We start from the raw sequence: 11992 nt of genomic DNA on the forward strand, positions 1-11992 counted from the left end.
GCTTAAAAAATGTCGCACCACGAGATTATATCCCGCACCTGGCTTGGAGGGTCCTACGCCCACGGAGTCTCGCTGATTGCTAGCACAGCAGTCTCAGATCAAACTGCAAGGCGGCAGCGAGGCTGGGGGAGGGGCGCCCGCCATTGCCCAGGCTCGCTTAGGTAAACAAAGCAGCCGGGAAGCTCGAACTGGGTGGAGCCCACAACAGCTCAAGGAGGCCTGCCTGCCTGCCTCTGTAGGCTCCACCTCTGGGGGCAGGGCACAGACAAACAAAAAGACAGCAGTAACCTCTGCAGACTTAAATGTCCCTGTCTGACAGCTTTGAAGAGAGCAGTGGTTCTCCCAGCACGCAGCTGGAGATCTGAGAACGGGCAGACTGCCTCCTCAAGTGGGTCCCTGACCCCTGACCCCCGAGCAGCCTAACTGGGAGGCACCCCCCAGCAGGGGCACACTGACACCTCACACGGTACTCCAACAGACCTGCAGCTGAGGGTCCTGTCTATTAGAAGGAAAACTAACAAACAGAAAGGACATCCACACCGAAAACCCATTTGGACATCACCATCATCAAAGACCAAAAGTAGATAAAACCACAAAGATGGGGAAAAAACAGAGCAGAAAAACTGGAAACTCTAAAAAGCAGAGCGCCTCTCCTCCTCCAAAGGAATGCAGCTCCTCACCAGCAACGGAACAAAGCTGGACGGAGAATGACTTTGACGAGCTGAGAGAAGAAGACTTCAGATGATCAAATTACTCCGAGCTATGGGAGGACATTCAAACCAAAGGCAAAGAAGTTGAAAACTTTGAAAAAATTTAGAAGAATGTATAACTAGAATAACCAATACAGAGAAGTGCTTAAAGGAGCTGATGGAGCTGAAAACCAAGGCACGAGAACTATGTGAAGAATGCAGAAGCCTCAGGAGCCAATGCCATCAACTGGAAGAAAGGGTATCAGCGATGGAAGATGAAATGAATGAAATGAAGCGAGAAGGGAAGTTTAGAGAAAAAAGAATAAAAAGAAACGAGCAAAGCCTCCAAGAAATATGGGACTATGTGAAAAGACCAAATCGACGTCTGATTGGTGTACCTGAAAGTGACGGGGAGAATGGAACCAAGTTGGAAAACACTCTGCAGAATATTATCCAGGAGAACTTCCCCAATCTAGCAAGGCAGGCCAACATTCAGATTCAGGAAATACAGAGAACGCCACAAAGATACTCCTTGAGAAGAGCAACACCAAGACACATAATTGTCAGATTCACCAAAGTTGAAATGAAGGAAAAAATGTTAAGGGGAGCCAGAGAGAAAAGTCAGGTTACCCTCAAAGGGAAGCCCATCAGACTAACAGCAGATCTCTCGGCAGAAACTCTACAAGCCAGAAGAGAGTGGGGGCCAATATTCAACATTCTTAAAGAAAAGAATTTTCAACCCAGAATTTCATATCCAGCCAAACTAAGCTTCATAAATAAAGGAGAAATAAAATACTTTACAGACAAGCAAATGCTGAGAGATTTTGTCACCACCAGGCCTGCCCTAAAAGAGCTCCTGAGGGAAGCGCTAAACATGAAAAGGAACAACCAGTACCAGCTGCTGCAAAGTCATGCCAAAATGTAAAGACCATCGAGACTAGGAAGAAACTGCATCAACTAACGAGCAAAATAACCAGCTAACATCATAATGACAGGATCAAATTCACACATAACAATATTAACTTTAAATGTAAATGGACTAAATGCTCCAATTAAAAGACACAGACTGGCAAATTGGATAAAGAGTCAAGACCCATCAGTGTGCTGTATTCAGGAAACACATCTCACGGGCAGAGACACACATAGGCTCAAAATAAAAGGATGGAGGAAGATCTACCAAGCAAATGGAAAACAAAAAAAAGGCAGGGGTTGCAATCCTAGTCTCTGATAAAACAGACTTTAAACCAACAAAGATCAAAAGAGACAAAGAAGGCCATTACATAATGGTAAAGGGATCAATTCAACAAGAAGAGCTAACTATCCTAAATATATATGCACCCAATACAGGAGCACCCAGATTCATAAAGCAAGTCCTGAGTGACCTACAAAGAGACTTAGACTCCCACACATTAATAATGGGAGAATTTAACACCCCACTGTCAACATTAGACAGATCAATGAGACAGAAAGTCAACAAGGATACCCAGGAATTGAACTCAGCTCTGCACCAAGCGGACCTAATAGACATCTACAGAACTCTCCACCCCAAATCAACAGAATATACATTTTTTTCAGCACCACACCACACCTATTCCAAAATTGACCACATACTTGGAAGTAAAGCTCTCCTCAGCAAATGTAAAAGAACAGAAATTATAACAAAGTATCTCTCAGACCACAGTGCAATCAAATTAGAACTCAGGATTAGGAATCTCACTCAAAACCACTCAAATTAGAACTCAGGATTAAGAATCTCACTCAAAACCGCTCAACTACATGGAAACTGAACAACCTGCTCCTGAATGACTACTGGGTACATAATGAAATGAACGCAGAAATAAAGATGTTCTTTGAAACCAACTAGAACAAAGACACAACATACCAGAATCTCTGGGACACATTCAAAGCAGTGTGTAGAGGGAAATTTATAGCACTAAATGCCCACAAGAGAAAGCAGGAAAGATCCAAAATTGACACCCTAACATCACAATTAAAAGAACTAGAAAAGCAAGAGCAAACACATTCAAAAGCTAGCAGAAGGCAAGAAATAACTAAAATCAGAGCAGAACTGAAGGAAATAGAGACACAAAAAACCCTTCAAAAAATTAACGAATCCAGGAGCTGGTTTTTTGAAAGGATCAACAAAATTGATAGACCGGTAGCAAGACTAATAAAGAAAAAAAGAGAGAAGAATCAAATAGACACAATAAAAAATGATAAAGGGAATATCACCACCGATCCCACAGATATACAAACTACCATCAGAGAATACTACAAACACCTCTACGCAAATAAACTTGAAAATCTAGAAGAAATGGATAAATTCCTCGACACATACACTCTCCCAAAAATAAACCAGGAAGAAGTTGAATCTCTGAATAGACCAATAACAGGAGCTGAAATTGTGGCAATAATCCATAGCTTACCAATGAAAAAGAGTCCAGGACCAGATGGATTCACAGCCGAATTCTACCAGAGGTACAAGGAGAAACTGGTACCATTCCTTCTGAAACTATTCTAATCAATAGAAAAAGAGGGAATCCTCCCTAACTCATTTTATGAGGCCAGTATCATCCTGATACCAAAGCCGGGCAGAGACACAACCAAAAAAGAGAATTTTAGACCAATATCCTTGATGAACATTGATGCAAAAATCCTCAATAAAATACTGGGAAACCGAATCCAGCAGCACATCAAAAAGCTTATCCACCATGATCAAGTGGGCTTCATCCCTGGGATGCAAGGCTGGTTCAATATACGCAAAGCAATAAATGTAATCCAGCATATAAACAGAACGAAAGACAAAAACCACATGATTATCTCACTAGATGCAGAAAAGGCCTTTGACAAAATTCAACAACCCTTCATGCTAAAAACTCTCAATAAATTAGGTATTGATGGGATGTATCTCAAAATAATAAGAGCTATCTATGACAAACCCACAGCCAATATCATACTGAATGGGCAAAAACTGGAAGCGTTCCCTTTGAAAACTGGCACAAGACAGGGATGCCCTCTCTCACCACTCCTATTCAACATAGTGTTGGAAGTTCTGGCCAGGGCAATTAGGCAGGAGAAGGAAATAAAGGGTATTCAATTAGGAAAAGAGGAAGTCAAATTGTCCCTGTTTGCAGATGACATGATTGTATATCTAGAAAACCCCATTGTCTCAGCCTAAAATCTCCTTAAGCTGATAAGCAACTTCAGCAAAGTCTCAGGATACAAAATCAATGGACAAAAATCACAAGCATTCTTATACACTAACAACAGACAAACAGAGAGCCAAATCATGAGTGAACTCCCATTCACAATTGCTTCAAAGAGAATAAAATACCTAGGAATCCAACTTACAAGGGATGTGAAGGACCTCTTCAAGGAGAACTACAAACCACTGCTCAAGGAAATAAAAGAGGACACAAAGAAATGGAAGAACATTCCATGCTCATGGGTAGGAAGAATCAATATTGTGAAAATGGCCATACTGCCCAAGGTAATTTACAGATTCAGTGCCATCCCCATCAAGCTACCAATGACTTTCTTCACAGAATTGGAAAAAACTACTTTAAAGTTCATGTGGAACCAAAAAAAGAGCCTGCATCGCCAAGTCAATCCTGAGCCAAAAGAACAAAGCTGGAGGCATCACACTACCTGACTTCAAACTATACTACAAGGCTACAGTAACCAAAACAGCATGGTACTGGTACCAAAACAGAGATATAGATCAATGGAACAGAACGGAGCCCTCAGAAATAACGCCACATATCTACAACTATCTGATCTTTGACAAACCTGAGAAAAACAAGCAATGGGGAAAGGATTCCCTATTTAATAAATGGTGCTGGGAAAACTGGCTAGCCATACGTAGAAAGCTGAAACTGGATCCCTTCCTTACACCTTATACAAAAATCAATTCAAGATGGATTAAAGACTTAAATGTTAGACCTAAAACCATAAAAACCCTAGAAGAAAACCTAGGCATTACCATTCAGGACATAGGCATGGGCAAGGACTTCACGTCTAAAACACCAAAAGCAATGGCAACAAAAGCCAAAATTGAGAGATGGGATCTAATTAAACTAAAGAGCTTCTGCACAGCAAAAGAAACTACCATCAGAGTGAACAGGCAACCTACAAAATGGGAGAAAATTTTCACAACCTACTCATCTGACAAAGGGCTAATATCCAGAATCTACAATGAACTCAAACAAATTTACAAGAAAAGAACAAACAACCCCATCAAAAAGTGGGCAAAGGACATGAACAGACACTTCTCAAAAGAAGACATTTATGCAGCTAAAAAAAACATGAAAAAATGCTCACCATCACTGGCCATCAGAGAAATGCAAATCAAAACCACAATGAGATACCATTTCACACCAGTAAGAATGGCAATCGTTAAAAAGTCAGGAAACAACAGGTGCTGGAGAGGATGTGGAGAAATAGGAACACTTTTACACTGTTGGTGGTACTGTAAACTAGTTCAACCATTGTGGAAGTCAGTGTGGCAATTCCTCAGGGATCTAGAACTAGAAATACCATTTGACCCAGCCATCCCATTACTGGGTATATACCCGAAGGACTATAAATCATGCTGCTATAAAGACACATGCACACGTATGTTTATTGCAGCATTATTCACAATAGCAAAGACTTGGAACCAACACAAATGTCCAACAATGATAGACTGGATTAAGAAAATGTGGCACATATACACCATGGAATACTATGCAGCCATAAAAAATGATGAGTTCATGTCCTTTGTAGGGACATGGATGAAATTGGAAATCAGCATTCTCAGTAAACTATTGCAAGAACAAAAAACCAAACACCGCATATTCTCACTCATAGGTGGGAATTGAACAATGAGAACACATGGACACAGGAAGGGGAACATCATACTCTGGGGACTGTTGTGGGGTGGGGGGAGGGGGAGGGATAGCATTGGGAGATATACCTAATGCTAGATGACGAGTTAGTGGGTGCAGCACACCAGCATGGCACATGTATACATATGTAACTAACCTGCACATTGTGCACATGTACCCTAAAACTTGAAGTATAATACTAATAAATAAATAAATAAATAAATAAATAAATAAATAAATTTTTTTTTTTTGAGACAGAGTCTCGCTCTGTTGCCCAGGCTGGAGTGCAGTGGTGTGATCTCGGCTCACTGCAACCTCCGCCTCCCGGGTTCAAGCGATTGTCCTGCCTCAGCCTCCCGAGTAGCTGGGACTACAGGCACATGCCACCAAACCTGGCTAATGTTTTGTATTTTTAGTAGAGACGGGGTTTCACTGTGTTAGCCAGGATGGTCTCGATCTCCTGACCTCGTGATCTGTCCACCTCGGCCTCCCAAAGTGCTGGGATTACAAGTGTGAGCTCAGCCTTTTGTTGCTGTTTTTAATATCAGGTATAGTTTTTGATGTCCAGTCTCCAATTTGATCACTCCTGAGAATACTTAAGTTCCATTCAACAAGTGTCAGGACCTTCAAGGTTCTTGCCCTCTCCATCTAATTGACCACCGTCAAGTCATTTAACATCGTCCACAGCCTACTCTGATCTCTTACGCCAGTGTCCAGGCCTCACCTCACAGATGCTGTCTTCAGTGTCTGCCTTGTTTCCCACCTGGTCCCTGCTGTCCGTCCAGCCTTGCCTTGTTCCTCTCCCCACCCCACTCCAACTCTGCATACTTCTGCTTGTCCAAGTCTCCTTCCACACAGACTCCTAAGAGCCTGCCTGCAAGAAGTCGCTGTGCCAAGCAGTTATTTCCAGATAGACCCAGACGCTGGGCCGTGTGTGTTCCACATCTGGCCTGTCCTTCACCTAAGCCACAAGCATTTTTTTGAGAATTTCTCATGCCCCAATTCCTGTAGAAAATCCACATTTACTCCACACTCACTCACCTCACATATTGGACAAATGCATTGAGGGGCCACCATGTCTCCAGAGGTAGGCTGCTGAATTGTGAGTGATACAGTAGAAAAATGATGGATTTTTTTTCTTCATTCAGATCTGGATCTGAATCCTGACTGTGTCACTTATTACCAGAATGATTTCAAAAATTCCTTGCCTTCTGTGAACCGGAGTTTCATCTTGTATAAAATGGAAATAAAATACTTCCTTTATAGGAATTGTGGGATTATTTTTATTTTTATTTTATTTATTTATTAAAAAACAGAGATGGGTCTCATTATGTTGCCCAGGCTGGTCTCAAACTCCTGGACTCAAGCCATCCTCCCATCTCGGCCTCCCAAAGTGTGAGAATTAACAGGCATGAGCCACCTCGCCTGGTCGTGATTATTTTTTAAAAAATTTATAAGAGGGTCAGGCGCAGTGGCTCACACCTGTAATCCTAGCACTTTGGGAGGCCAAGGTGGGCGCATCATGAGGTCAGGAGTTCGAGACCAGCCTGACCAACATGGTGAAACCCCGTCTCTACTAAAAATACAAAAATTAGCTAGGCATGGTGGTGCGTGGCTGTGTCCCAGCTACTTAGGAGGCTGGGGCAGGAGAATCGCTTAAACCCAGGAGGCGGAGGTGCAGAGAGCCGAGATCACGTCACTCCACTCCAGCCTGGGCAACAGAGCTAGACTCCGTCTCAAAAAAAAAAAAAAAAAATTATATAAGAACACCAAGCTCCAAGCTCCATAAAGAATAGTTCCTTCTTTTCTCCTTCCTGAAGTGAGACTCATCTATTTTCATAGCTTTAACTATTATCTCTATGCAGCTAACTCCTAAATTCAATGGATATTTATTGCATTAAAAATGACTATGCCAGAGAGTTTAGAGAACTTGGTGGCTGCAGTCAACTGAAGGGTGGCCCCCAAAAATATGTCCACACCCGAATCTTTAGAACCTGTGATTATTACCTTATATGGCAAAACATGTGATTAAATTAAGGATTTTTGAGAGGATGATCTTAGCCTGGATTATCCAGGTAGGCTCTAAATCCAGTGATAAGCATCCTCATAAGGGTGAGGTCAAGGGAGATTTGACAGGAGAGGAGGACGAGGCAATGTCACCATAGAGACAGAGCTGGACATGATATGACGACAAACTAAGCTGCTCCTGGAGCTCCCAGAAGCTGGGAGAGGTAAGAAACAGATTTTCCTCAAGAGCCTTCTGAGGGAGAACAGCCCTCCAATGCCTTCAGTGAGATTTCTGGCCTTCAGAACTGTGAGAGAATAAGTTTATGTTGTTTTAAGCCATCCAGTTTGTGATCATTTGCTTTTTCATTTTTTTGGCAGGTGATGGGGTCTCACTATGTTGCCCAGGGTGGTCTTGAACTCCTGGGCTCAAGCAATTCTCCTGCCTCAGCCTCCCACATAGCTGAAATTACAGGCATGTGCCATCATGCCTGGCCTGATTTGTTAAGCAGTCACAGGAAACAAATAAAGTGATAGGGAGGACCCTGAGATAACTGCTAATTTGGGGTTTGAGTGATTACAATAGGAGATGGCGCCCTTTTCCAAGTGTGGAAATAGAAGAGCAGGTTGAAGGAAGAAGCTGGTGAATTCAGTTTTGGACATGCTGAGTGTTGGAACAATCTTCCATGGGTCTCTTGTGATCCTTTACATCTGAATATGCTAAGAATGTAAGGCCTTGACAACTCTTTTGTTTCATTTTTGAGGCAGGGTCTCACTCTGCCACACAGGCTGGAGTGCAGTGGTACGATCTCAGCTCACTGCAACATCCGCCCTCTGTGTTCAAGTGATTCTTGCACCTCAGCCTCCTGAGAAGCTGGGATTACAGTTGCCCGCCCCCATGCCTGGCTAATTTTTGCATTTTTAATAGAGATGGGGTTTCACCATGTTGGCCAGTCTGGGCTCAAACTCCTGACCTCAAATGATCCGCCTGCCTTGGCCTCCCAAAGTGCTGGGATTACAGGCGTGAGCCACTGTGCCCAGCTGGCCTTGACCACTCTTTACCTGGGCCATATCTCAGCCTTCTTTTTGCAGTGAGCAACCTTGAAGGACTCCTTCCAGAACAGGCAGCAAGCTTGCTCATTGCCTGCTATAAAATAGTAGGTTCCTCAAGCTTCCTGTCCTTTCTTGTAACACAATCAACTGCATGTGCAGGCCTCCATCGGGCCCCCCAATTCATCTTCATGGGATTTGGGGTGCAAGGGTAATTGATGCCAGCATGCTAATGCTCATGCTGCTTGCTGTGCTGTGAGTAAAAAGGACCTTTGTCTCTGACTCAGTTTCTTCTGTCTGCATCCATAAAATAGTAACAGGCTAACTTATTTGCTTGAAAGTAGTATAAAATCAAAAGTCAACTGGACCCTGAGTTGAGGGGCCTTGGGGTCTTCCTGTTTCCTGGAAACACCAACTAGGGAGTTGAATAAATAGGTCTGCAGCTCACCAGAGACATTTGGGCTAGAGATAACAGATTTGGAAATTATCAGCTGAGCAGTCATAGTCAAAGCCAAGAATTTAAATCCTGCTACCCAGGAAAATTTTATTAAGTGAAAAGAGGAGAAGAAGAGAAGAAGAGAAGAGGAGAGAAGAGAAGAGAAAGCTAAAGAAACCTGAGGAACACTAACATTTGCGGGTCAAAAAGAAGAACTCAAAAATTAGACAAAAATGATTCAAATATTTTCCTACTGACTCAGCTTTTGTATCTCAGGAATCCTCCACTTACTGACTTTGACTCCTTCCCCTGCATCTAATCAGTGTCAATTCCAGCTAATCTTTGAGTCACACTTTGTCCCACGCCCATCCCTTCTTCCCATTCCTATCTGACATTCTAGTTTATACTCCACATCTATTGCATCAGTTCTTTGCCATAACCTCTTAATAGGTCTCTTTGCTTCCTGCTAATACCCACTAAAATCCATCCCACACAGTGCTGCCAGGTTAATTTTCTTAAAATATTCCTTGGGTTGACTCACTCTTCCTTGTTAGAAATGGTCAATATTTCCCTGGTATGTCATGATTCCTATTCTGTTTTTCTCTACCCATTGATCCTGATTCTTAATGAAAAACAGGAACTGGCATCATAGGGAATAAAATTTAACTGTGAGAGACAAGAAAAAGGACAGGGGAAGGATAAAAAAGAAAAGGAGAACTTAGGTTGTGAGGAGAGGTTGACTTTGCTGGGGGTATTGGAAATAAGTCTTGTTCGGGGATATGCAAACTATGGCCTGCGGGCCAAATGCAGCCTGCCACCTATTATTGCTAATAAAGTTTTATTGAAACACAGCCATATCCATCATTAACATATTGTCTATGGCTGCTTTTGTGGCTACAGCTGCAGAGTGAAATAATTACAACAGATCCTATCCGGCCCGCAAAGACTAAAATATTTACTATCTGGTTCTTTACAGAAAAAATTCGCCAACCCTTGGTCTAGTTATAGCTGCAATATGTGAGAGATATTAGACCTCAAGAAATGTAGAAAAGGATATTATAGGAAATTATGCTTGGGATTACCAATTGGATAGATCCCTGTGGACAGCCTTTGAAAGATTCCAGCAAAGATTTGAATTACTTTTAATTGCTGGACTGTTTCTTTGAATATATTTTCTCAGACTCTGCGCCATGAGGCAATCCCAATTAAATGTCCTTTGTGTATTGATCCCTTAGCATCTTTATTTACATTATTTCTCTCTCTTGAAATTTCCCCTCTAGCTTACTTTCATGTCTGGCTTATTCCTTTACATCCTTTCCTTCAAATTCCGACTCAAGTTTACTTTCCTTTGATAAGCTTTCTCTGTCCTTTATTGCCCACAGTAAGCTCTCACCTCACATGATAAAAGCTGCATTTAATCAGCACTCCCCCATTCAACCTTTACATACCGCTATGTATTTTTGGTTAATCTTTTCATGGTGTGAGGCTTTCTCCCTATGAAATCACAAGCTTATTGAAGTCAAGAACTGTGTCTTACGTATCTTTTCATCCCCCACAGCTTCTGGCAAAGGGAATTGCATAAAATTGTGCTTGATAAATTTGCTTATAATTAGTGAAAGCAGGAGAAATACAAGAAAACAGATTTTCCAACTTCCAAGCCCTATAGAAGTGCTATGCCCCAACACTGTGACATATTAATGTCTGGCTCAGTTTTTAAGCAACTGAATTTGTTAGGTAAAAGTCCCAAATCTTTTAATGAGAACATGAAGGTGATTGGGCTATGATGTCTGTCACCTTGTTGGCTGCTAGGCTTGATTTTGTGCTCCCTTGCTCCTGAACCTCTCCTGAAGCTGCCTGCCCAAAGAGAGGGGTAGGGGGTCTTCCATACAAGTGGCTAACAGGTATATCTAAAAGTGCTGCACATCACTAATCATCAAGGAAATGCAAATTAAAACTATAAGGATATATCACTTCTCACCTGTTAGAATGGCTACTATCAAAAAGACAAACGTTAACAAGCATTGACAAGAATATGGAAAAAAAGACAACTTTTGTACACAATTGGTGGGAATGTAGATTAGTACAGCCATTATGAAAAACAGTGTGGAGATGTTTCAAAAAATTAAAAATAGAACTACCATGTTTCAGTAATCCCACTACTGGGTACATATGCAAAGGAAATGAAATCAACATGTTGAGGGGATAGCAGCACTTCCATGTTTACTGCAGCACTATTCACAATCGCCGGGATTCGGAATCCACCTAAGTGTACATCAATACATGAATGAATGAAGAGAAATGTGGTATACATACACAACGGAGTACTATTCAGCCATAAAAAAGAAGAAATCCTGACATTTGTGACAACATGGATGAACCTGAAAGACATGATGTTAAATGAAATAAGCCAGCCAGAGGAAGACAAATACTGCATGGTCTCATTTAGACACAGAGTCTACTTCTATGTAATCTCATAGAAGTAGCCAGTAGAATGATGGTTACCAGGGAATAAGGTGGTTGGGAATAAGTTGAAAGCATCTACTGTACAACTGGACGACTATAGTTCATTACATATTGTATTCTTGAAAAATGCCGAGAGTGGATGTCAAGTGTTATCCCAAAAATAGCTCTGCAAGGTAATGCATACGTTAATTAGCTAAATTCAATCATTTCACAATGTATATATACTTCACATCATGTAGTACACAGTAAATACATACAATTTTATCTGTTAATTTAAAAAATTTAAAAAATAACCAAAGAGGGGCATCTGCTCAGATAGGACAGTTCTGTTGTCAAGTGTATAGTAGCCTTTTGTTAGAGCAATCGGTGATCATGAGAAGTGTAGGCTAATGTCCTAATTTTCTGTTTTACGACACGGTCTTCTGCTATTGTGCCATATATTTCTTTTTTATTTTAAAAAAACCTTTTTATTGAAGTATAGCATA

General features: G+C 41.5%; 1 annotated feature.

The window, feature by feature from the left end:
• Positions 1-593: an enhancer, noted in NCBI's record as "H3K27ac-H3K4me1 hESC enhancer chr12:76713713-76714305 (GRCh37/hg19 assembly coordinates)". NCBI's record gives its function as "activates a minimal SCP1, AML or CMV promoter by ChIP-STARR-seq in primed H9 embryonic stem cells {active_cell/tissue: H9 hESC(primed)}" and the evidence as "EXISTENCE:reporter gene assay evidence [ECO:0000049][PMID:30033119]".

Source organism: Homo sapiens, chromosome 12 (assembly GCF_000001405.40).
Source record: "Homo sapiens chromosome 12, GRCh38.p14 Primary Assembly".
NCBI lineage: Eukaryota > Metazoa > Chordata > Mammalia > Primates > Hominidae > Homo > Homo sapiens.